The 26,780-nt window shown below is 43.4% G+C and overlaps 1 long non-coding RNA gene and 1 pseudogene across 2 annotated transcripts in view, besides 3 other annotated features; one reads left to right on the forward strand and one right to left on the reverse strand.

Moving 5' to 3' along the window:
• Positions 1-26,780, reverse strand: part of LOC107985905 (uncharacterized) — a 134,425-nt gene that overhangs the window by 83,435 nt on the left and 24,210 nt on the right. The window lies entirely within an intron of this gene.
• Positions 10,194-11,393: an enhancer, noted in NCBI's record as "BRD4-independent group 4 enhancer chr2:84517185-84518384 (GRCh37/hg19 assembly coordinates)". NCBI's record gives its function as "activates an origin of replication core promoter dependent on BRD2, P300/CBP, MED14 and CDK7 cofactors, and independent of BRD4, by STARR-seq in HCT116 cells {active_cell/tissue: HCT116}" and the evidence as "EXISTENCE:reporter gene assay evidence [ECO:0000049][PMID:35650434]".
• Positions 10,815-12,333, forward strand: FUNDC2P2 (FUN14 domain containing 2 pseudogene 2; annotated as a pseudogene). The gene has a single exon (NR_003663.1). The product of NR_003663.1 is annotated as an FUN14 domain containing 2 pseudogene 2 (transcript).
• Positions 17,014-18,213: an enhancer, noted in NCBI's record as "CDK7 strongly-dependent group 2 enhancer chr2:84524005-84525204 (GRCh37/hg19 assembly coordinates)". NCBI's record gives its function as "activates an origin of replication core promoter dependent on BRD2, BRD4, P300/CBP, MED14 and CDK7 cofactors, with strong dependence on CDK7, by STARR-seq in HCT116 cells {active_cell/tissue: HCT116}" and the evidence as "EXISTENCE:reporter gene assay evidence [ECO:0000049][PMID:35650434]".
• Positions 23,118-23,167: an enhancer, noted in NCBI's record as "active region_16098". NCBI's record gives its function as "activates an Ori minimal core promoter by ATAC-STARR-seq in GM12878 lymphoblastoid cells {active_cell/tissue: GM12878}" and the evidence as "EXISTENCE:reporter gene assay evidence [ECO:0000049][PMID:35858748]".

Below are 26,780 nucleotides of genomic sequence, written 5' to 3' on the forward strand. Positions count from 1 at the left end.
AGTGATGACCAGATGATTTGGGGAAGAGTTTGAAGATATTTCTGATCTGTGCTATAATTCTTCTTAGTAGCCCTAAGATTTCAGTCTGAGACTCTTGGTGTTTCAATGGTGGTATTAAGGAGAAGCACAGAATGGGCAGTGTGTGATGTATGCAGTGGGGACATGACCTTCCCACACACTGTCCCCCAAATACACTCTGTCACTGGGAACAGTGTCAGGATAGTAGCATCTTATTGAGGGAGGACTGTAGCTCCCAAAAGTCAGGTTATCGGTGGACAAGAGCTGAGACTTAAGATGGACCTGAGACTGATAGTGGAGAAGCAGGCTAAATGTGGATCAATTCAAGAGCTGTATTTGTCAGTCTTCTCCAGAGAAGCAAAGCCAGTAGCATAGATAGATATAGATATAGATATATAGCTGTATAGATAGAGAAAGAAAGAGAGATTCATTATAGAAATTGACTCATGTGATTATGGAGTTTGAGAGGTTCCACCGTCTGCTGTCTTCAAGCTGGAGAACCAAAAAAGCCAGCAGGGTAAGTCCTGAGCTGTGTCTGAAGGCCTGAGAAGCAGGAGCACTGATGTCCAAGGGCAGGAGAAGATAGATGTCCCAGCTCAAACAAAGAGTGGGCAAATTTGCCCTTCCTTTGTCTTTCTGTTCTATTCAGGCCCTCAACAGACGGGATGATGCCCTCTCATGTCAGTGATCTTCTTTCCTCAGTCCATCAATTCAAATGCTAATCTTTTCTGAAAGCACCCTCATAGACACACCCAGAAATAATATTTACCAGTCATCCGGGCATCCCTTAGCCCAGTCAAGTTGACCCATAAAATGAACAATTACAGGAGTAGATATGAGAAGGTCCACTCTTCCTGAAATATGCTCGGAGATGGAGAATGGATTGGGAGTAAGTCAATGCTGCTGTGATGTGGACTGGGACCAGGCACTGAGAGGACACATGGGTATACACACGTATGAGAGAGAGACTGAGAGCCCAGAGTGCCTTTGTGGTATAAGGTGGCCAAACACAAACTAAAAGTGAAATCTGACAAATGGAGGATTTCAAGTGCTTATCAAAAGACATTCTTTCACTGAGAGGCTTTTACAGAATTCAATCATACCTAAAAATGGAAGCAAAGTAAGCACTGAAAAAAAAAAAAAAACTTCCTGCGTCCACATGATAAGATATCAGGGCTTTCCAGGAAGACTAGAAATCCTAGGCCTACAGAATACTAATGTGGACAGCAGCCATCAAAACAGCTGACAAAATCCTGGTAAGTAGCACACACCAGCTGAACACATATAAGAAAGATATGTAACAGCTTTGGACTTAAAAAAAAAATAGACATGAAATTAAATGAAATGTCACTGGAGCATAATGTCATAACTGCAACCAAAGCTGCCTCAACTTCTCTGTCACCTGCAAGACTACTTCCTGTAGGTCTGTTGTGTAACCAACCAAAAGTAAATAAATAAACTAGGAACTGGACCTGTATATACAAGAGAAGAGAGAGTCTTTGTGTTTGTGTGTGGGTGCGCATGCACAAAAATAAAATGTAGAAGCACGTAAATATATTTGCAAATCAGAATGTTGTTCCTGTTGGTTTTTATGTAAGTTTTTCTCCTTTATTCATTCACTCCATTAACATGTACTGAACACTCAGTAGGTGGCCGGCACTCTCCTGGGCAGCTTCTCATGTCACAATTATTTCTCAGAACTCTGCAAGGTGTACAAACCCTCTTTTTTTCAGACAGAAAAACCAAAGCTCAGTGAGATTAAGTGACTACCTACTGTTGCAGCTACTAAGCGGCTGAGGATTTAGAGCCAGGTCTCCTGATACAGGGGACGCCAACTTGCATGCAAAGGACTTTGGGCTGCAGCCTGCAGGGCAACAGTTCTCAACTTCTTTCAACTGATTCCAAATTCAAAACCCTTTCCACAGCACCAGAGCTGCCTAAGTACAAAAATTATATATTATGTTTAAGAGCTCATTTAAGAAACATTTGTGAAATGCCATCTATGTGGCAGGCATAAATTTTAACATCAAGTTCTTATTCTCAAGTTGCTCATAGAGAAAAACATCAGAAAAAAATAAAATAAAAATGAGCATGTTGTACTAGACTGAATAACAGAAGTGCTAGAGACAATACTGACCAAAGTCGACATGATGACTTCAGCTCAGGGGTCAAGAGGGAAAATTAATCATTGAGAACAGTTACAGAAAAGGTGACGATTAAGTTTAGTCTTGATCGAAAGATAGGAATTTCCAAAGAGAACCCCAAAAAATATTCTAGGGAAAGGAAAAGCCTTGGCAAAGGCAGATGTGTGAAAGCTCTGGGCTGAGAGAATTGCAAGGAGTATTGCTAGGGTGAGATGTGGTCTGAGGGGTGTGACGGGGAATGAGGCCGGTGGAGCAGCTGGGGCTTAGGTAAGTGAGGAATCTGAGAGAGGTGTATTGAGACACTCTGGATCACCTGGAGCTTGTTCTCGGATGGAGCTGAAGGCTGGAAGTAGGTGATTTCTCCCCACATAGGGGCTCACAAACCTCCTGGTAAAAAATGCTTAAACCCTGTCCCCTATTGGGGTTTGGACATGTGCAAACATGATTGATATGACCTCAAAAGACAACAGATGGAATAAAGAAGTTTATTAGTGTAAAGAAGTTTCCAGGGTCGGGCACGGTGGCTCACGCCTGTAATCCCAGCACTTTGGGAGGCCGAGGCGGGCGGATCACGCGGTTAGGAGATTGAGACCATCCTGGCTAACACGGTGAAACCCCGTCTCTACTAAAAATATAAAAAATTAGCCAGGCATGGTGGTGGGGGCCTGTGGTCTCAGCTACTCAGGAGGCCGAGGCAAGAGAATGGCATGAACCCGGGAGGCGGAGCTTGCAATGAGCCGAGATCGCGCCACTGCACTCTAGCCTGGGCGACAGAGCGAGACTCCGTCTCAAAAAAAAAAAAAAAAGAAGTTTCCATTAAGGAATGAGGAGGCTGGCTGAGTCAAACAGCGCAGCCTGAGGACCAGAGTAGAGTGGGAATCTGGACTTGGTGAGGCGGCCTCTTTCAAACCCTGTTCTAACCCAGGCCTCCAGATCAGCCTGAGCCGTGTTCATTAATTGAAAGGACTGGACCATATATTTATGAGAGTGCACAAACTATTCTGGAAGTTTGTTCAAGTAAATAAGATGGAGGAACTGGTGTTCAGGATTAGAGAGACTTGCTTTTCATTGTATCATTTCGTACTGCTGGGATTTTTTTGTTTTTAATCACATACCTGAAGTAGTTATTCTAAAAACTTAAAACAAATTTATACTTAAAAGAAAAAGTTGTATCACTTATATCACTTACTGAAAATATTTAGGACCCAAACAACACCAGTATTGAACAATTTCTGAATAAAACAGAAGAAACACCTTTCTCAGTGCACAAGGGCCTTTCTAGGTGTTGGTTTCCTGCACTAGGTTGATTAAAATCTCAGCAGTGGAGCAGATATTTCAGCTCCCCTGGTGAAGACAGTGTTAAGAACAGCGTTCAACTCAGAGCAGTGCTTCTGAAGCCCATCAGAGACAGTGAGAGAGAGAGAAAGACAGAGTGTGTCTTATAGTTATTTCCAACAGGAAGCACAAGAGTTTTCTGCTGTAAAACTTTTGCATTTAGCAAGTGTCTCCAGAAAGGATCACTTTCCTTTTTAATCTGAACAAGGAAAGGGGTATTCAACACGTGCTGGGGGTGTGAGGAGGAACAATAAATGCTGCATGATGGTAGGAGGTGGAGAACATCATCAGGGGACCTCCAGGTCTGCAGGCTGCTAGGCAACATCAAGGGGAAAACAGTTCCAGCTGAGAGCAGTATCGCCTGGAGCCTGGCAGATCTGCGGGACTATAGGTCCTGCCTTAGGAAGCAACAGTAGTAAATAATATTTGAGAGTGATTTGCATGCACTTAGAAGCCCTGCTGGAGGCTCTCAGAAATGAATAGGGGAAAGTCTGGTTTGGGGGTGAGAATTATAGAGCATACAATAAAGCCAACAGGGACTCAAATAGTCACACGAATATTAACAAAACTACACCAGCTTCAAGGAAAAAACAATGGCTTTGCTCCTTAGGACAGTTTTTCTGCTTTTTTCCTCATTAAGAAAATGGTAGATAATTCAAGACTGGTATCTTGAATGTACGCTATTTTTTCTTTTTTCTTTCTTTTTTTTGAGATGGAGTGTTGCTGTTGTTGCCCAGGCTGGAGTGCAATGGCGCAATCTCGGCTCAGCGCAACCTCCACTTCCTGGGTTCAAGTGATTCTCCTCCCTCAGCCTCCCAAGTAGCTGGGATTACAGGTGCCCACCACCACGCCCTGCTAATTTTTTGTATTTTTAGTAGAAATGGGGTTTCATCATGTTGGCCAGGCTGGTCTTGAACTCCTGACCTCAGATGATACACCTGCCTCAGCCTCCCAAAGTGCGAATGTACCTTTTTTTTTAAGTGCTATGAACCATTAATAAGTATTGGCACCTTTTTGTAATAATTAATTACCCATGGGATCTCAACAACTGATGGGAAGCACCAGGATACAAAACATCATAGTTAGAAATGACTTTTACCAGTTAGAAATGTGTTCAGCTTGAAACTGGTAATCAGAAATAAACTTGGGGATGTGATACAGTTTGGATATTTGTTTGAGTTTCATGTTGAAATGTGATCCCCAATGTTGGAGGTGGGACCTGGTGGGAGGTGTTGGGTCATGGAGACAGATCTTTTATGTATGACTTGATGACTTGGTGCCATCCCCATAGTAATGAGTGAGTTCTGGCTCTGGTAGTTCACGCAAGAGCTGATTGTTTAAGAGTGTGACACCTCCCTCCCTTCTCCTTACCTCTCTATCTGTCTACCTCTTTCTCACCCTGTCTCTTACCATGTGACATGCCTGCTTCCCTTCTGCCTTTAGCCAGGAGTAAAAGTTCCCTGAGGCCCTCACCAGAAGCAGATACCGGCACCACACTTCTTGAACAGTCTACAAAATCATGAGCCAAAATAAACCTTCTTTCTTTATAAATTACTCCACTTCCAGTATTCCTTAACAAGCAATGCAAAACAGACTAACACAGGGTGTCTATGGAAAATTCTCAAAATACTATCAGGGGATGTCTGGATTCTGCGAATTCTACCCCCTAAATATTTTATCTTCTATCCGTCCCTTCTCTTCTCAACCTCCAAGGCCAGCACCATTACTGCCAGCTCCATGTGACAAAAACAACCTCTCTAGAAGCTACACATATAAGATTTATAGTTCTTATATAATAATAAGGCCAGCACTGGCATTATGACTCACAGTAACCATGGGGATCCAGGCTCTTCCCATTCTGATTTTGTGCTCTATGACAGACTGGTTGCAAAATGCCCATAACCATGGCTCCCATCCTGGAACACAGGCCCATTAATCTGAGCTGGTCATGTGACTTGTTTTGACCAATAGAATATGGCAGAGTTTCTTTGTGTGATTTCTGAGCCATATCCCTAAACAAGTCTTGCAACATCTGCCCTCACTTTTCAGCCCTGAAACAATCATGTAAGGATGCCCTAGTCTCCTAGAGAAGGAGAAACCAGATGGAAAAAGAGGCACATACATATGATTGAAGCCATCCAGGACCAGCCACATAGATGACCCTAGGGCAAGAGGTGCAGAAGAACCACTCAGCTTAGCCCAATTCAGAAGGCAGAATTGTGAGGAAATAAATGGTAGTTGCTTCAGAATACTAAGTTTTTGATGATTTGTTGCACTGCAATAAACAAATGAAACACCATCCTTTGTGTTTTTCTTCTATTCTCACGACCAGCAAGATGGCTGCCACATCAAAATCATGTCCCAGGGAAAAGAAAGAAGGATAAAGGACAAAAGGTTAATGCCAGTCAAGTCTATCCTCTTTAAAGCACTTTCTATCAGCGCCACCCAGTAATTTCTGCATATAACTTGTTGTTGAGTATTGGGCCACATGCTATAAAGGAGTCTGAGGAAGTGAATGGGGCACACTACCACCTGAAAAAAGTTGGGAGGTGGATATTCAGTAGGTATCTAGCAATGAGTACCAGATCAGATCACTGCTATTGGCAAAAAGAGAACTCCCTGAAGGGCTTGTGCATGGAAATAATGCGATCAGAGCTGCATTTCAGAAGGGTATGTCTAGAAGATGAATGAAGGAGAGATCAGAGGGGGCCAGATCAGAGACAGAGAGATCAGTTAGGAGGTTGACATATCAGTCTCGGCAAAAGATGAAGATCTAACTAAGGCTGTGACAATGGGAATGGAGAGAAGAGGATGTTTGAGGGGGAGCTTCAAACTTGTTTGATGTGAGGAGTAAGGAAGTTTCTATCTGGCTGGGGTGAGTCAGTGAATGGCAGAGCTAAAATTATCAAGATTAATAATACAAAAGGAGAACCCTGTCTGGAAGAAAGACAAGGAGTTCAGTGTATTACAAACACAGAGTTGATTCTTGTTATTTACAGTAACTATATTCTGTAGTCACTGTGAACGCTGCATTGTGAATACTGAACCATTGCTCCTGAAGCAAATACAGGGATAGGTTCTGAGAAGCCTCTAGTCAAAATATTTTCCATCAACTCATCAATACATAACATTGTGTTATGTGTGTTTTTGTTTAAAGGCATCTTGTTTAATATAGACTGTTGATTCATTAACATTGAATTCACAGCCAGCCTCACTATAACTCATGCCTGAATGAAGCTTATCTAACATATGTATTTTCTCCATAAGGCACATCACAGCCTCCTAGTGCTTAGAAACACTAGACAGCACTTCAGCACTATGATTGGGGGCCATTTTAAATAGTGAAATAACCAAAGAAAAGCATAAAAATGCAAAAAAGAAAAAAGTGGCACTCGATGGACCACAAAAAGAGCATTTACTTACAGTGTGAGAGCTGAAACACGAAGTCAGAGCATTACTTTGTTCAGCCTTAGCTGGGAATGTGCTATCAGGTGACTCAAGCTTTTCATCACTCTATGCATGGCCACAAATGACCACAAAAGCATCTTACATATTGATTTGGGGATTACAAATAAATTTTACCTAGTAGGTACATTCCCAATTGCAAAATTTGCAAATAATGAGGACTGAGCATTTAACTTAAGCTGCCCACGGGATCTCCAAAAAGCAATCGAATATACCAGTCTGGAGGCAGGAGAGAGATGTAAATTAGATGGGTAACACCTCTGCCCAAAGCCCAGCAATGCTTCCCTGTCACTATGAGCAACAGCCAAAGTCCTTGTCACAGCTCATAGGACCCTAAGATAATCTACTCACCCCACATTTCCATTTGATCTCATTTCCTACTTTTCTTCCTTGGCTTCCTTGTCGTGTCCTTGAACACGTCAAGAATACAACTCAAGGAATTTGCACTGTAGTTCCCTCCAAGTGGATGTTCTCCCCACAGAGAACTGCACAGTTTACCCCCTTGGCTCCTTCAGAGTACTCAAATGCTGTCATCTCAATGAAATCTACCCAGACTGCCCTATCTATACTTGCAAACATCCCCCCTGCCCGAGATGTACGCAGTCCTTCCAATACTGCCCATCCTGCTTTGCATTTCCTTTTTTCTTATAATGTACTACATAATTTTCTTATTTTGATTATTATGTATTGTCTTCCCCCATTCCCACCCAGCTACCAGACTGCAAGCTCTATGAAAGCAGTGATCTTAGTATGATCTGTTCAGTCTTATATCTCCAGAACCTAGAATAGTGGTGGGCATATTCCAGGTTCTCAGAAATACTTGTTAAATGAATGAATAAATGAATGGAGGAATTATGAATTGGGCATATAGAACACACTTAATCTACACATAAATACAGGCAAGAGCACTCACAGCGAGTAAACTGAGACGGTGGTCGAGGACAGAACCCCTGGCAATGCCATGCGAAAAAATGAAACAGGAACAATGAGCCAAGAAAGGAAGCAGCATGGAGAAAGGGACCGAGAGTGAGATTCAAAGCCAAGGGAATGGGGGTTTTCAAGGAGGGAGACTTGAACAGTGTAAAATATCACAAACAGGCCAAGCGCAGTGGCTCACGCCTGTAATCCCAGCACGTTGGGAGGCCGAGGCAGGTGAATCACCTGAGGTCAAGAGCTCAAGACCTGCCTGGCCAACAAGGCGAAACCCCATCTCTACTAAAAATACAAAATGAGCCAGGTATGGTGGCGCATACCTGTAGTCCCAGCTACTTGAGAGGCTGAGGCAGGAGAATCGCTTGAACCCAGGAGGCAGAGGTTGCAGTGAGTCAAGATCGCACCACTGCACTCCACTCTGAGCAACAAGACCGAAACTCCACCTCAAAAAAAAAAAAAAAGAAAAAGAAAAAGAAAAAAGCACGAACAAGTCATTGATTTGAGAAAGGAAATCTGTTATCCATTTATGTAAAAAAAAATTGCTGCACATCTTCTATGTACCAGGCATTGTGGGCACGGGAACAAGCCATGGAAAGAGCAGGACTCTAATGACAACGTCAATGCTCCACCCAGGACCCCGGGGTTCACTTTCTGCCATTTTTGCACACCACCCACCTTCAGTATGCCTCAGCAGTAAGGTCACCCCTCCAGCTATTCAGAGGCTTGTCCACACACACTCACACAAAGAAGAGCTGGAATCCTAGGAATTTACTTCCCCCAGGGCAGCCATTGACCAGTAACCATAGGTACTGGGATACTGCAGTCCATCTCCCTGGCCTTCCATGGGCAATTCCAAGGTGTAACTTATACTCCAAAGCTCCCCTGCAGGGTCAGGCTGTAGCTACCACCCTCAGGATGTTGCCTGAGGACACCCTCTTGCTGGGTTTCCTCCCTTCCACTGTCCTGCACCTCCACTCCTTACCAGGCTCCATGGGAGCCCTTCCTTAATATATCACTTATGCATGAACCCTAATGTTAGTCCCTGCCTCTGAGGCCTTCAGGTGTCCAGTCTCTAGAAAGGGAGATGGTCAAGAGAAGAGAAAAAGACAGTGGGAAAGAATGTGGAAAACATATCATGCTGGAAGGGAACATGGGAAGGACCCAAGATCAAGACTCCCAGGACTCGAGAGGGCTTCCAGGAGACAAGGGAGGCTGTGCTGATGCTGGAAAGATGAATAGGAATCAGTCCAGCAAAGGCAGAGGGCATTTGTGACAGAGAAGGCAATCAGTGTAAAGATCCTGAGAAGAGCAACAGCAGAGCTCCTTAGGGAAATTGCAAACAGATCAGTATGGCTGGAGGGCAGAACACCAGAAGGGCTGGGCAGGCCATAAGACCACAGGTGGGCACTGGCCACTTCAAATGGCTTAGTAAGCCAGGATGGGGGATTTGGAGCATCCTGACAAGCCTTGAAGTGCCTTTGAGCATCCCTTTGGCAGCAGTAAAAAAAATGGATTAGCGAGGGGCAAGATAGGAGACAAGAGGACCCATTAGAAAGCTGTTGAAGTAATTCAGCCATGAGACGACAGTGGCCTGAAATAAAGTAGCAGAAGTGGGGCCAGAGGGAGGAAAAGGATTAAAACTGAGAGATCAATTGTGATATCAGGAGGGCAAGGCCAGTGAACTGGGCAAGGCAGAAGGCAGACAGAGTAGGTGGGCAAGTTATGTGCAGTAAAGAGGTGGAGATGATGAACAGAGATTATTTTTGAACAGCTTAACCATAAGAAGAAGGAAACAATTCAGTGTCAAAAAAGGGTTTTGCAGGGGCTGAAGGGGGCAGCCTTTAAGATGAAAGAGAACTGGAACTCATTTATAAAGTTACAAGGAAAGTGAGATCTACCCATCAAAGTTTCTGCCCATTTCTCTCTCTGCCTTTCTCGCTTTTATTTTCCTTTTTACTTAGATGAAGACTTGTTGTCATGTTATCCTTAAGATGAGCACAAGAAATTCCAGCAGCAAGAAGATACCAGGACATAAAAACTATATACTTCAAAAGTTCAGACTTAATTCCTGTTCATATATTGCATTGGATAAAATTTGTTTTTTTTTCCAGTCCAGCCCTGGTAAAAAGGCCACAATAGCACAAGCAGTCCTGTTATGGCTGCAGAACAGAAGGTGGGAGGAAAAGTTCAATTAGAACCATGCCTTCCTCAGCCCGATAATGGGTTTAACATTTGCAGAGGGTTCCCAGGCAACAACCCCTGCCATTCCACACCCTACAAATTGGGAATGGCTTTTTGTTGCAGGCTGAGAAAGCACCACACAAAAGGTCCCAGGCAGCACAGCTTTTTCATGTTTGAAGGGTCGTCAGCCCAGCCCCATCTGCCTCCCAAAGCATATTCCCCTCTTCTCTTTACCTTCCCACAGATGACACTTCGGACAGCTCTTTTCAGGTAAGTCCAAGAGAAAAAGTAAATGCTAGGCCTGGTGAAGTAATTTCTCACTCAGGTTTTGCAAAATGCAGAGAGGCTACAGGTTTCCCCAAATATACTACAAAAATCTTTGAGTCTCAAAAGGGGAGACTGTCGACGGTGTGAAGGGAAGTGTTTTCAAAGATAATTCACCTGGACATTTGCCTAGGAGTTTTGCAATTTACAAAATATTTCACACACATAATTTTATTGGATCCTCACAATAATACTGTATTTTTCTTATTCTATAGATGAGAAAACAGACTCAGGTCTTCTCCTTGGACATGTGGTCCATTGCTCTTTCCACCATTCCACACTGCTTCTAAAAAAAACAAAAAACCAGGATGGCATCTGTTGGGCGGGGCTACGGGGCTTGTGATGCCGCCCGCTGAACTTTGTGACACAGCCGCTTGCGGAGACAGGAAGCGGTCGCAGCACGTCAGGCCCGCCCTCTTCCGCGGCCGCGGTGGGAATGGAAACATCTGCCCCACGTGCAGGAAGCCGGGTGGTGGCCACGACAGCGCGCCACTCCGCAGCGTAACCTCGCAGATCCCCTGCGTGTGTCCTCGCAAGACTAGCTCACCGAAATGGCCGCGTCCAGTCAAGGAAACTTTGAGGGAGATATTGAGTCAGTGGACCTTGCAGAATTTGCTAAGCAGCAGCCGTGGTGGCGTAAGCTGTTTGGGCCAGAATCTGGACTCTCAGCCGAAAAGTATAGCGTGGCAACCCACCTGTTCATTGGAGGTGTCACTGGATGGTGCACGGGTTTTATATTCCAGAAGGTTGGAAAGTTGGCTGCAACAGCTGTGGGAGGTGGATTTTTTCTCCTTCAGCTTGCAAACCATTCTGGGTACATCAAAGTTGATTGGCAACGAGTGGAGAAGGACATGAAGAAAGCCAAAGAGCAGCTGAAGATCCCTAAGAGCACTCAGATACCTAACCAGGTCAGGAGCAAAGCTGAGGAGGTGGTGTCATTTGTGAAGAAAAATGTTCTAGTGACTGGGGGATTTTTCGGAGGCTTTCTGCTTGGCATGGCATCCTAAAGAAGATACCTCATTTTCATTGTTCCTGGTTTTTTCCAGTCAGCAGCCTCTACACTCCATCACAGGACATTGAGTCCCTCCTCCTCTTCTCCCATGCCTTCCTCCCTGCTGTGGCAAATCCGAGTGGCTTCTATAAGCATCCGTTGGTACAAGTTAATGTGGCACCATGAGCCTGACTGGCTTCTATAAGCATCTGTTGGCACAAGTTAACGTGGCACCATGAGCTTGATGGCAGCAGAAGAGACAATAGTCCTTAGCTCTTCTTCCAGTACGCCCCCTACTTAGTCAGTCTGTAGGTCATCAAGAAGGTCCCTCTACCCCTATGCAAGACACTTACAAGAACACATTGCAAGATAGCTGACCGTGGAGGATGAGTGGATCCTGAAATGTTGTCCCGAACTGTTGATTTGGAAAAGAAATAAGCACATAGATAACCTTATTGTGTGCTGCATGGAAAGGAACTGAATACAATTGCCTTTAAGCATTAAAAAAAAAGGATGAAAAATTGGGGTGTCACATTTGCAAAATGGATGGACAAATGTGGTCAGGGCAGATCAAGGTAAGGGATGATCTGAGGCAAAACTGTGAAGGATAAACTTTGGTGACCCTTACATATTTTTTACCCTTACCCCAGGTGCCCCCTGTTTCCCAACCCCTAATGCCCAGGGCCCTCATTCTCTACACTTTTGCTAAACAAGGCAACTCTTCTCTGTTGCCCACATGAGCAGAACCTCATACTTTGGCTTCCGTGACTCCTTCTATCCCTTCAAAACATACCTATCCCTACCTGTGTTCTTCTCCCTCAATTTCTCTCTGGGCAACTGATCTACTTTAACCTGATCATTTGACTTCCTAGGAAGTACCTTCCACTCTGAGAGTCAGAATGCTCTGCATGTGTGCTAAGGCATTAAATGAAGATTGAAAGTCACTCCTGTGTTACCCCTCTCTGGCAGCACTGCTACTTTGACAAGGGTTCTGTTGACTCAACCTGAATTCCACAGTGTTGTGAGAGTTTCAGGCACTGCTGCAGCTAATAGGTACAGCTATTACTGGGTAGGGACTCCCTCAATTGGCGCACCACAGTCTATCCATCAAAAATTTCTCAACCATGGCCCTGGGATTGATTGCCCAAAACCCATTAGAGGACTGCAGGGATCTGCCAGAAGGTGGGACATGAGATATGAATACATTCCTTAAGGCTCTGTAGCCCTGAAAACTCAGCCCCAGAAGATGATCTGTGCAGGAGGTTTTGAGCCTATCCAGGGTACCAGAGACACCAGGACTACCTCCTCCAGCCAAGACTGACCACAGTCCAGAGAACAAAACCCAGATATCAGAATCTATCTCTGACACTGGACTCTTCTTTCTTGCATTGTGGGAAATGTAAGAACTACTCTTGGAAAGAAACAGTAGAGACCAAGAGACACTGCGATGGAAGCTGACTGGTTTCAGGGTTCAAAGGTCTGTGTTCCACCCCAACTTGGCCAGTTATCAGCAGGAGGGGCCATGAACAATCCAGAAAAACCCTCTGGGCCTCTGGTTCCCCATCTGAAAAATTAAGGATAGTGAAACTTGCCTTGCCTACTCACAAGTCTGTCCTGAACTCATGAAACTCTAGCAGCTTTTCTATCTCCTCAGCTTTTCTATCACTTAGGTGAAAAACCTGTGGCCTAAGAAATTAAATGACCCACTTACCTGTTGTCTTAGTTTGTGTGTCCCCAGACCTTGAAACAAGCAATCAAATACAAGTAGTGTATTTAAGACAGGCAAGAAAAACTGTCAGAGGAGTGGAAAAGTGAACCAAGGAAGAGAAGGTAGCCAGTAAAATGATTTATCAGTCTTGCTGCCTTGGGGACAACTGAAAGTTAATTCCCTGAGGAAATTCTGGAAATGGAGTACAATGCAGGCCTTGAAGTTATCCTGCCCATGGAATAAGGGAGCTTGGGTGTTTGCATGCCAGTCTTGCAGAGTCCTTGGTTGAGGCTGCTGGGGCAGGATGTGAGCAGAGTGGACTTCATGGCCCTTTAAAAAAAAAAAAAAAAAAGAAAGAAAAAGCCTGCAGACAAAAGGAAGCAGAGTCTGGCTAGTGGAGGTTGGTCAGAATGCATGGAAATGGCAAGGCCCATTGGGTATGTGTGTGTCATTGCGATGGCTTCAACAGCTAACAGTCAACAAGGCTAAGATCTCAACTTCGGTTCCCTGACATCCCATTAGGGTCTTTCCCACTATCACAACTCCCTCTGACATTATGGCTCAGTTCTCCTGACTCTCCTCCTCATGAGGTTTCTGCCAATGCCCAGACTGCTTCCTGCCAATGTTGTTCTTCCCATACATGGTAACACCATTGGGTCAGAGCTGGGAGAGGGCATCCCTTGGCCAAACTGTCCTCTCCAGGCTCTGGCACTCAGCTCAGAATGCTCAGCATTGCAAGCCTAGAACAAGTTCCTTAACATGAGAATTCACAGATTTGGGTGTCTGTTTCCAGACCTACGATATCTGTCAACAGAATACTAATCCAAGAAGATATTTTGACAGGAGAGAGAATAGTGACCCCAGAAAAAAAGGCAAGTAAGAAGAGAGGGAAGTCCTTGAGTCCAAGTGACAAGACCATCAGGGCAAGACAGGGTACAAGGGGATTCAGTACCTGGTTCGGATACTAAATCTGCAAACAGTGAGCATCCCTGTTGTTTACAGAAGCACATGTCCCGGATGCAGGTCAAAAGCCTAGAGCAAGCTAGATCTGAGCTGTGCATACATTGGCAGACACGTGTGAGTGGCCCAGTGCCCCAGGGACAAGGTTCTTTTCTTAGCTGGGGAAAAACAGGCACCGGACTATCTCCACCGAGGCCTCACCAAAGCAATCAGTGGAGTGCTAAATACCTATCTGACAAGTCCAAAGTCTAGGTGAAGAAACATGGAAATGGTCTTTTCTCTTTGTGTTTTGGTGGTAGAGAGGGGCTGAAAGGACAAACAGTAAAATAAATATTTTAAAAGTCGCAAAACATTAAGGAAAATTCTGACCCATTAGATACAAATTCATAATTAAAATAGCCTAGCCTCACTGCTTCTGCATGTCATCAATTGTAAGATGCACATTTTTTTTCACATTTTAATGTCCCTGAAATTGGAGTTGTCTTTGCAGTAATGGTGGCCCTCAGTCCCTCCTAGCCAGAGAATAGTTACAGCAAAATTGTCATTGCCCACATGTCCCAACATGCACAGAGATACTCCCATTTTCTTTACTCATGTACTGAGTTTAGTTATGCAAGATGTCTTCAAACCAGAAAAATGTCAGTAATTGTTGAAGTTAGATAATGGATTCACAGAGTTTATTATTTTATACTTTCCACTCTTTTATATGTTTAAACATTACTAAAATAAAAAGGAAAAAAGGTCTCCAAAATATGCAATGATTCAGCATTAAAACAAAATGCTTATTGTGTTTTCAGAAAGGGAGAAAAATAGAGCAGTGAGGTATCAATGTGATATTAGTAAAACAAATGCTTGACATTGAAGGAATAACTGAAATTTTACATTTTCTTAGAAAATAACAAGCAAGCCCTTTTCAGGACCTAAGAAAGAAAGCTGTCTACAAGTGGATGTAGCATGTAATATTTTGTTACTGAGATAGAAGGCAGGAGGAATTGCGTAGGCTTTTGGAATTTGTGTAGTAAAAATACGAAAAATTAGCCGGGCGTGGTGGCAGGCACCTGTAGTCCCAGGTACTCGGGAGGCTGACACACGAGAATGGCATGAACCCGGGAGGCGGAGCTTGCAGTGAGCGAGATCGCGCCACTGCACTCCAGCATGGGTGACAGAGCGAGACTCTGTCTCAAAAAAAAAAAGAAATTTTGAAACAATGTAACCAAGTTATGAGTTATGGTAGACTACCATTATGCTGTTGTCATAGTTTAATACATAGAATAATGGTACACCTTCCCTTCTATAGTGTCTTAGAATCAATAAAGCAGCATTTTCAATGTTAAGTATTCCCCATGTTGACTAACCAAGGCAAAATTTTAAAATATGCATATTTACAGAAAGAGATGAAAAAGTTTTTGTTCACCAAAGTTCCTCTTAGGAAGAATCCTGCATTTGTCTAGAAGATATGCTTTAATAAGAGACAGTACAGTCTCGGGGCTGAGATCATGGGCTCTGAAACACGGCTGCGTATGTTTGAATCCCAACTCTGCTGCTTGTTAACTGTGTGACATTAGACAAGTTACTTAACTCTTCTATACCTCAGCAGATAATGAAAGTGGATCTTTCATTGATTGTGTAAAGATTAAATGAAATAATACTTGCAAAGAATTAAAACTAGTACCTGGAACAAAGGAAGTGTTCAATAAGCTGTTATGCCATGTTCAATAAACTGTTATGCCATGAAGGAAAGGGAAAGAACAATCTGTTTCCTCCTGAAGAAGAGACGGTCAGGAGATGGGTGGAGAATTCAGAGAGAGGGATCCCAAGAGACAGCAAAAACCTTTCCTAAACCATGATGTGTATTTATTAGGGAAAATTTGACATTTAAGGTGAATACTAAGTATAACAGGAAAAGCACACGTCACAAAAGTAGAAGGCAGAAGAGGCCCTGAAAAAGCAAGTCCTGGGAATTCACAGAATCAAGTGAGAAGCTATGGATCCTCGTATGCCTTGCATTTTGGAGCTAAACTAGGTTGCGCTAAGTTAAATGTGTATACCTTCCTCCTTCTCAAAGATGATAAATTGATCCCATCTTGGGTGCCAACTGTGATCAATTAGAGTGTTATACTGTGAAGGATTAGCAATATCTGCCCTAAGCATGGGGGGATTCAGTCACAATACATGAATAACATTTCAGCCACATTGGTTTTAGGGCAGACCTGCGTCCCCTTGACATTAGAAATACAGTCAAAATGAAGAAAGCCCCACAAAAACCTCTCTGTTCCATGTGGCTGGTCCAGGACCTAAGTATGTGGGACAGCCCTCTTCAGACTGCACCCTAAGGTCACACAACTGGATAGAGTTTGGGTGACTGATTCAAAGTGCATCGAACAAGTATCACCACATAGGGATTCTCCAACCCAAATCAAGCACCCAGCCGGTGTCCAGGGGATTCTCAACCAATAAAAGATACCGGTATTGCACCCATAGGCAGGGAATTGGTGGCAACCAAATGAATTGAAAGTTGTTAAAGCTATATGCTGGCTTGAATTATGTTCATTGAAATGTGTAGAGAGAAAGGGGAGTGTAGTTCAGAATTAACATTGACTTAACAATCATTCTGTTTAACTCTCTCATTATACAGAGAAAGAAATTGAGTTCCAAAGTTTATAAAATGTCAGAGGCAGGTCTAGAACCCTGAGCTCCTGAGACCTATCTAGCCAGGGCCTTTCTTCTTGTAAGGTTGAAAACATAGGACATGCTGAGGGTTAACTATGAAAAACCAGCCCTTCACACCATCCTTGCTGTCCTCTCCTGCAACTCCAGGGAAAATTGGACCAATTGGGAAACTATCTGCTCCAAGAACATTGACTCCTCTAAAAGTTCAGTCACTCTCTGCCATGTTAGAACCATCCATGTGTGTTTCTTCTGAATTCCAAGCCAGAGGAAATATCTCAAATTGTGCCTGTTAGAACCCTGTCTCAGAGTTTATCAATAGACTGCAGAAGAGCTTCTAGGTTATATGGTCTCACAATGATCAAGCCATTCTTTCTGCTGCAAATGAAAGCTTGTCCCCAAGTCTATCCCCAGTGGCCCACTGTGGCACTCTTTTTGCTTTCTCCAGAAGACTCCTTTTAAATATGCATGCCACTTTTGAGAGCATCTTCATAACCCATTTGGTTTGTGCAATTCAGAGAGAACAGACCAGGCCCACGACCTTGGATGAAAGGTCCAGGGAAATTCTTTTTTATTTATTTATTTTTTTAGAGATAGTTTCGTTCTGTCACCCAGGCTGTAGTGCAGTGGCATGATCACAGCTCACTGTAACCTTGAATTCCAGGCTCAAGAGATCCTTCCACCTCATGCTCTGAAAATGCTGGGATTACAGGTGTGAGTCACCATGCCCAGCCCCAGGGAAATCGTTGAACCTCACCCACTTTATGGTTGGTGAGGATCAGAGGCTGCTCCTTGCCCCTCCCCAGTAGTAAGGAATGTGGTGTTAGGAGGGGGTGGGGTCTGGTATTGGCAATGGCAGAAGCAATGCCTTTCTTATGTTAATCATTCACGTTCATTAATGTTTGTAAAATCCATGCATGTCATTGTGTGTAGCTATAGTGCATTCCTTTTCACTGCTGGATAGTATTTTGTTGTATGCGTGTTATGTTGCATCCAGTTTGGGGCAATTATAAACAAAGCTGCTATGAACATTGTTTGTTTTTTCCATGTGTCCACTTGTACATATATTTTTCCAGGCATAGACTCAGCAAAGAATGCCCTGGGTGTTCTTCATAAAGTGTGAAAATCTTCAACTGAGTTTTCTGCAGCGTTTGCACCATCTTATGTTCCTACCAGTGTGACTGAGCATTTCTATTCTTCTGCATCCTCACCAACACAGCGTATTTCAGAGTGTTTAATTTTAGCCATATTCCTTGGCGGTTTTATTTTGCATTTCCTCGGTGGTTTTATTTTGCATTTCCTCAATGACTAATGAAGTTAAACACATCCTCACATATTTCTTGGCCATTTATATTTTCATTTTGTGATGAATGTATTAGATTCCTTTGCCAGTATTTCTTTTGTATTGTTTGCCTTTTTCTTACTTGGTGAAGGAGTTGTACATGTGTGCTGGGCACTGGTCTTTTGTAGTGATAACTGTTGGAAATACCATTCCCACACTCGTGGTTGGTCTTTTCACTTTCTTGTTGGTGTGTTTTGTTGAACAGAAGTTCTTAGTTTTCATAGAGTTGAACTTATCTGTCTCTTCTTTAGAGTTAGTGCTTTCATGGTCTTATTTAAGAAATATTTCCCTGCTCCAAGCACATAAAGATATAGTTTCATACTCACTTCCAGAAGAATTTAGTTCTGCTTTTCACAATTAGATCTTTTATCCTTCTGGCATTAAATTTTAAAATGTCTCAAACTTCTTTGTCAAATTATAATGGGAACCATAGCACCATGTTCTTGAGCACTGGCTTGGAGGCCGCCTGCGTTTCGGTCATGGCTCAGATGTTCACTAGCTGTGTGACTCTGAGAGTCTGCTTTACTTCTCTGTGCCTCTCTCCCAGCTGTAATAGTACCCACCAGAGCACTTTTCTGAGAGTTAAATGAATTAATATGTAAAAGCGCTAGAAGAAAGAATGTCTGGCACACACTTAATGCTTTATAGGACTTAGCTACGTCTTTTTTCTGCCCTTAATGTTTCTCCTCGGCTTACTCAGACCCAATGATCGTGCTTGCCATGCCCTAACAACAGCCAAGAAACATGACCCCATGGAAGCTGTGTGCTGTCGTGATCAATATTCTGCCTGAAGAGTTTCTTTTCACCATATAATTTTCTTGCATGTGTCAGTATTTATATGCTTCACTTGCCATCTGCAGGCACCTCAGCCTTCTAAGAAAACGTGCCTAGTTCTGTCGACTTTAAGATCAGAGAGATGTGGAATTCAGTTCTCCCCAGATATTTCTTATGCTCCCCGGGAAGTAAAATAGCTCTGAAAGTGGTGGAAAAGAGAAACATTTCTCAACTTTCATTCAACTGGGATGTACATTTCTGGGGACACTGCATGATCTGTCTGTCTTTTTCCTGTTACTGGGTGACACCTTTAAGGCACCAAAAGTAGCTTCAAGCCAGAAAAGGAAAGAAACCAACATTTGTTGAGAGATTTCTAAGTTATAGTAAGTGCTTTACATATGTTATTTAAGCTACCCAATAAGTGAGAGAGGGAGGTAACTAATATGCAGAAGAGTCAGAAATTCTGTATTCAGAACAAAGTCCTTCTACTTTCCAGATGAAAGCTCTTTACAGCAGGCAGCCTCCCAAGAGGCACCATCTAGTAGACTTAGAATCATTCTGGCCTTCTTGAATGCCCCACGTATTTTAGACTTTTTTCTATTTTGTCATCTCATCTGCATCCTGCTCCCTCCTTGCGCTAGCCCTTGGTTGTGCTTTCAGCACAAAAACCTGTTCTCCCAGTGAATGCCGGCACCTGCAGCTGACCACCCACCATGAATCTTAGACTGGACCCCCTCTGCAAAATCTCATGCTAGCAGCTGCCCCTGTGGACTCTCTCTTAGGAATGGCAGCATATGAAGTTTCTCTTCTCTTACAGACATGTTTATACAGGTCAGTTTCTATGTCATTGTGCCTGTATATACATGTAAGCAAGGATGGGCATGTAACAGTAATGACTTGATTAATGAGAATGATCATTATATATAGTTATGCAATGAAACATGTATGATTCAAGTGAACACATAACATAAAATTTCATGTAACCTAACTGGTATTAACTTATATGAATCCTTCTAGTAAGTTGAAGTCCATTTTTAGAGTAATACAAGTAACAGGACATGAGCTATTATTTTTAAGAATTTACTCAAATGAGCAACTTCTAGGTTGAGTCTCTAAAGAACCTACTGGGGTTAAGCTCTCCGACACAGCAGCCCTGATTCAGTATTCTCTGCAGATCTCAGGGTGCATAACACAGGTCTGGCATCCACAATGAGATCTTCAATGAATGCTTGTTGTGTATAAATAGATGAAAGAATGGATTGGATCCATTGACACGCAGCCCAATCATCTTTCCACAGCCAGCTCCAGCCCTGTACCAATAATCACTAGGAATAAGAATTAGTACCCTGAGGCTGTCTAGAAGCCAGTCATCAGGTTCAGTCTTGCAAGCTAACTTAGACTTAATTAGGCAGAAACATTGACTCAAGCATCTCAAATTATTTAAACAGCAAGAGTTCAGATTGGCATCTTTCTTCACAACCCGTAATACAGGGCTTCGCAGGCAGCAAACGTTCAATAAATACTAACTGATTACACTTCAGAAATCTAGATAATTCTATTAACCAAATTCCTCCTTTGCTGTATGTGTATCCATTAATCAAGGTAAACATCCAAAGACACACATCTGTGTGTCCATCTTACCGCCTCCACCAAATTCCTCCTTTGCTGTATGTGTATCCATTAATCAAGGTAAACATCCAAAGACACACATCTGTGTGTCCGTCTTACCGCCTCCACCAAATTCCTCCTTTGCTGTATGTGTATCCATTAATCAAGGTAAACATCCAAAGACACACATCTGTGTGTCCATCCCACCGCCTCCACCAAATTCCTCCTTTGCTGTATGTGTATCCATTAATCAAGGTAAACATCCAAAGACACACATCTGTGTGTCCATCCCACCGCCTCCACTGACCTCTGCCTTCACTGTCTGCATGTGTGGGCTGGCTGCTAAGGGACCAGATTTAATTATCAGATTTTAAGCACATTCCTTCTCTCCAAATTATGTGAGTTTGTTTTTCTATTTGAGAGTTTGGCAAAAGCTATATTCCCACCCTGTCACTTACTCAAGAGGAAATGTGTTACTCTTAGCAAGAGGACATCTCCCACAGTAGGAATCCAACAGCGTCTGCAGAGGTGGTCCCAGCTTGCGGCAGCCTCTACGGATTGCCAAACTCCCACCTCAGGCTGCCCCTACTTGCCTTTTGCAGTGAGCCTCCAGAAAATGTTCAGACGGCCCCAGCAAACAGCCAGAAAAGGCATGGTACTTGGATAGGAAGGTGACATAGGGACCTCAACTCCCTAAATTGCTTTATGGTTTTTGCAGACCTGGAAGGGTATTTCTCAGAATGATTCCTGGCTACTTAATTGTTGGTCAGTCCAAGCACGTTGCTATCACTTCTTCAACTACCAGTAGGCAAGGAGTCGATGGTAAAATAAGCTAGTGCTTAGACTTTAAGCAATGATTAGACAGAATTATATCCCCCCCAAATTTTATGTGTTGAAACTCTAACCCCCAGTACCTCAGACTGTACAGACTATATTTGGAGGCAGCATCTTTTAAAAGGTAATTAAGGTAAGTTGAGTTCATATAGGTGGGACCTAATACAGTATGACTGGTGTCCTTATAAGAAGAAGAGATTAGGATACCAAATGACACAGAGAAAGGACCGTGTGAAGACACTGGAAGAAGACAGACATCTACAAGCCAAGGAGAGAGGTCTTAGAAGAAGCCAACTTGACTGACATCTGGATCTCAGACTTGCAACCTCCAGAACTATGAAAAAATTAATTTCTGTTATTTAAGCCTGTGGCAGTTTGTTATGGCAGCCCAAGCACACTAATCCAGGCAGCAAAGAGCCTGAGATAAACTGTGACCATTTGCCACAATGGTCAACATCTTAAATGGTCACTGGAGGCAAATTGTCACAACTATTGAAGAATAGAGGACATTCAGGGGACAATGCACCCCTGTTCTTTATGTTAACTCATTACCAATATCTCTGTATCCATTCTCTACCCCTACATAACAAACCACCTAAAACTTCGCAGCGTAACACAATCACCATTTATTTGCTCACAACTCTGGGCCAACAATTTGGGCTGGAGCATCTGGGCAGCACTTCTGCTGCTGTCTCTAGAGGCCATTCACATGGATGCAGCCACCTGGCGCTTGTCTCAGGGAGAGATGCTAGAAGATGGCCTGGTTCACATGCCTGGAAATTGGTGCCGGCTGCTCGCTGCAGTGCCTTCATTCTCATGCTCCAGCATGCTGGGCAGAATTGCTTTCCATGGTGGTCTCGGGTCAGCAATCCAAAAGGGCAATTGCAGAAACCCTAAGACTTTTTGAGGCTGAGATTCAGAAGTCTCACAATATCACTTCAACACATTCATTTGGGTAAAGTAAGTCACATGGTATCTTAGTGCACTTATCATTATTATAACAGAATACTACAGACTGGGTAATTTATAAAGAAAAGAAACGTATTTCTTATAATTTTGGAGGCTGAGAAGTTCAAGGGCCCTGCATCTGGCAAGGGCCTTCTTGCTGCATCATCCTATGGCAGAAGCCAGAAGGACAAGAGAGCACCGAGGAGAGAGAGTAAGAAAAAGGCAGTCAAATTTGCTTTTATAACAAAGCCATTCCCAAGATAGCAAAGCCACTCTCAAAATAATTAATCCACTCCTGCAACAATGACATTAATTCAGTCATGCGGGTAGAGCCCTCCTGACCCAATCACCTCTTATTAAGCCCCACCTTCCAACACTACTGCATTAAGGATTACGTTTCCAACACATGAACTTTGGGGGACATAGTCAGACCATCACACAGGGCCAGATTCAACTAGAGGAGAATTAAACCCACTTTTTCATGGGAGGAGCAGTAAAGTCACAGTGCCAGGGTGTATGTGTACAGGATGGGAGGAATAGTTGCAGCCATCTTTATAAACAGGTCACTACACTCTCTTTCTATCATCAGGATCATTTCACTGATTACAAGCCAGGTGCACGCCCTGTCCCAGGCATTTAGAAGAACAGGGGCCAGACTTACATGTGTGAGTATGCCTTAATGATTGCAACACTTGTTCATTATCCATTCATTCCACAAATACAAAATGAAAAATCTATTCTTGGAATACAAAGGTGGGTGTGATATAATGCCCACCTTCAAAGAAAGTTCAGTTACTAGGGTCATAGAGATACAAATAAGCAGATCAAAACAGAATTGTGTACAGAGTAGTCAATTCTAGGGAGGAGCAGGTCAAGAAAGATTTCATAAAGGAGGTGACTCTTGCCCTAAGTTCAGAATGGTGAGGTACTTGTGAGGTGAACTGTGATAAGAGGACAAAGGCCTGAGCGAGAGATGATTTTTGAGTAGGAGGTAGCACCACCTAGTGGCAAGGGAAGGGGGAGGCTTCTCTGCCATACTAAGGAGCATGAGCTTTCTCCACAGGAAACAGACTTTGAAACCTTTCAGGTATGGGCTTGTTATGGTCCTACTTGGAATTTGGGGAAATGTGCAGGGTGTTCTTGAGGCAAGGGGATCAGTGAAGGGGCTTCTACAATTACAGTTTTGTAGTTGCAAACAACAAAATGCTGACCAACTAAAGCAAAAGAGGAGTGAATCAAAGGCTATAGAGGTACTCACAGGGTTGAAGGGGAGGCTGGAGAACGAGGCTTGTAACTCTCAGAATATGGAACAGCTCCAGAAAGTGTGAAGACAAGATCCAACCATCTGTCTGTTCCCCTCATAGAACCTGCTGACAGATGCATAGATTCGAACCATTCCTCCCATTTCGATCCTTCTGTTTCAGGGTCACAGTTTTGGAAGAGAAGATCTAATTGGCTGAACTTATGTCATATGCTGCTTGCTGGAGGTTGTGGGAACTTCCATTTATACCCTTTTGATTAGAAGTACAGGTGACAACCTGGGACTTGTGATTTGGTTTCTGAAGTAGGGGCAGTCTTGTGGGACTCCAGGGCTGGAAGGGAATCCCCAGGGATCTCTCAGAGGAGTCTGTGGCAAGAAGCCCAGCACCCACCCTCATTGCTCCGCAAGACAGAGGTAATTCCCAAGAAGGAAACCAAGATGCTGTTGGGAGGTAGAATGGAAGGTAGATAGCCCAAAATGAACAACACTCACTATAGAGCCATTCTGTCTGTCTTGATATCTGCCTAAGTGACAGACATCAAGGACAATCTGCCTCAGTGGGACAGCATAAGTCTAGAGTGAGAGAATGAACTCAAGGGCCACAGGTAGCCAGAGCCATAATTTGGCTACACCTAGATGCCTATGGCCCCAACTCTAGCTCTTTTCTAGTGGCACTCTCTCTTCTGTAACACAGAATTTAACTAATTTGTTCATTTTTTTCCCAAAGTGAATCAAAAATTTCAAATGAAATAACTACTTCAGTAGTGCCTCTGTGAGTACTTCTGTTGATGAAGATTGAAGAGGCCACCCACCTTCCTCACTAACTTTCCCAAGCATCCAAGACCTAGGTTTAGACACACACACACACTCATGCCCCAAGAACTCTACTAAGAAGAGGTTTCTTGCATAATATCTCATCTTTAAAATTCTTCTGACTCAAAGAAAACTTTTATTTCCCTTAAAATGGTTTCCATTATGAACCAAAAAGACGAGGGCTTGGGACTTTCCCATTAAAGTAATAACCATATTAGCTAACAGCCCAAAGCTATGTCATGGGTCATCAGCTCCCAGCCACCATTAATTATGAGACAATATTATTCATATAGTGCTTTGCAAAGTCACTCAAAGGGTGAGACTCTCCAAATCAAATCTGGATATATAGTTTATCCCCCATTTGGCAAATATTGCTTTTGAGGATGCAGAACATTTTCCTTGTTCCAACCTCTCCAGACATGACCAACCCAAACCTTGGGCCCTGTCTGATCTCTGCCACTGAAAGAGGTGAGGGTGAACCTGGCTTCTGGGGGAGACATGGGACCATAAACTTTAGAGGCCTGACAAACCTCAGAGTTTATGAAAGAATACTAGTAATGAACTTATGAACCTTGTTCAGACATTAGGCTGCAGCACAGAGTCCCAAATTTGACAGCAGAAGTTTTAGTTGTGATTTCTAGCTATCTCCACTTCCCAGCCCTAGAGTCTTGGGATAATTGTTTTTAACTTTCACGCACTTACTGATTTATAAAGTGGGGATAACAATACTGTGATGTTGTGATGTAATAATAAATACATATTTAATCTTCATTCCCAGCTCCTGACCGGAGCTCCTAAAACCCTTATAATTTCCTAAGAGATAAAAGCAATAGGAGCGTCTTTTGCTATGTTTTGTTTTTGTCCCCACTTCCTGAAATAGCTGCTGGGTGATAAAGAGAGAAAAACATCTTTTGTTATTCATAACAAGACTCCTTCAATCACACCTGAGTTTATGTTAATGGAGTGATCTCCAGAAAGCACCTAAGAATGGAGAGCTGTTTGCCAGGAGAGCAAACCTGTGGGTAAAGGGTTTCAGCCACACCCCCTGACCTCCAGGGAGGGGAAAAGGGCTGGAGGTCGAGCTAATCACCAATGGCCAATGATGTAATCAATCATGCCTACATAACAAAGCCACCATAAAATCCCCAACCAAAGGGTTTGTGAACTTCCGAGTTGGTGAACAAGACCATACACAGTTTCTGGGAAGGTCGTGCGCTTCAAAACTCCATGTGGACAGAAGCTCCCGTGCTCAGGACCCTTCCAGACCTCTGTGTATCTCTTTATCTAGCTGCTCATTTGTGTATTTTAAATATCCTTGTAATAAATTGGTAACAGTAGGTAGACTGTTTCCTTGGGTCCTGTGACTTGTTCTAACAAATTATTGAACATGAGGAGAAGGTTGTGGGAACTTCCATTTATAGCCTTTTGATTAGAAGTAGAGGTGACAACCTGGGACTTGTGATTTGGTTCCTCAAGTGGGGGCAGTCTTGTGGGACTCAGCCCTTAGTCTGTGGGGTCTGTGCTAATTCCAGGCAGTTGGTGTCAGAATTGAGGTAACTTGTAGGACACTTAGGGTGTGTTCCAAGAGGTGGTTGATGTTGGGGGAAAAATAAAACCCACACATTTGGTTCCAGAAGTATTGTGTTGAGGCAGGATAGGTAGTCAAGAAGTAACCATGTTCTCAGGGCGCGGCAACCATGGTGGCCATACAGTCAGCACAATAAGCCCCAGCACTCACATTATAGTTAAGCTTATCCCAACAAAGCTATCTCCAGTAGGGAATCCCGCTCCTCACCCACTCCCAGAGAGCATGCACATTTTAATTTCACCTGTCCTCAAACTCACCCTTTGCTCATGACAATAGTAGAAAAACATACCCCAGGGTGGAGATGCTAATTAGACATGCAATATTATCGGGGGAACCAGCCCCCAATATTTCAATGTAGGTTCTTTTCTATTTTCCCTAAGTGTCAGCAGGTCTGAGAAATAAAGAGAAAGAGTACAAAATAAAGAAATTTTACAGCTGGGTCTCTGGGGGTAACATCACATGTTGGCAGGTTCCGTGATGCCCCCAAGCTGCAAAACCAGCAAGTTTTTATTAGCGATTTTCAAAGGGGAGGGAATGTATGAATAGGGTGCAGGTCACAGAGATCACATGCTTCAAAGGCAGTAAAATATCACAAGGCAAATGGGGGCAGAGCAAGATCACAAGGCCAGGGAGAAATTAGAATTACTAATGAGGTTCCATGTCCTGCTGGGCACACATTGTCATTGATAAACATCTTAACAGGAAACAGAGTTTGAGAGCAGAAAACCCATCTGACTACAATTCGCCAGGCTGGAATTTCCTAATCCTAGCAAGGCTGGGGGCGCTGCAGGAGGCCAGGGCATATTTCATCCTTTATCTACATCTGCATAAGACAGACACTCCCAGAGCGGCCATTTTCGAGACCACCCCCTGGGAATGCATTCAT

Source organism: Homo sapiens, chromosome 2 (genome assembly GCF_000001405.40).
Source record: "Homo sapiens chromosome 2, GRCh38.p14 Primary Assembly".
NCBI classification, from domain to species: Eukaryota; Metazoa; Chordata; class Mammalia; order Primates; family Hominidae; genus Homo; species Homo sapiens.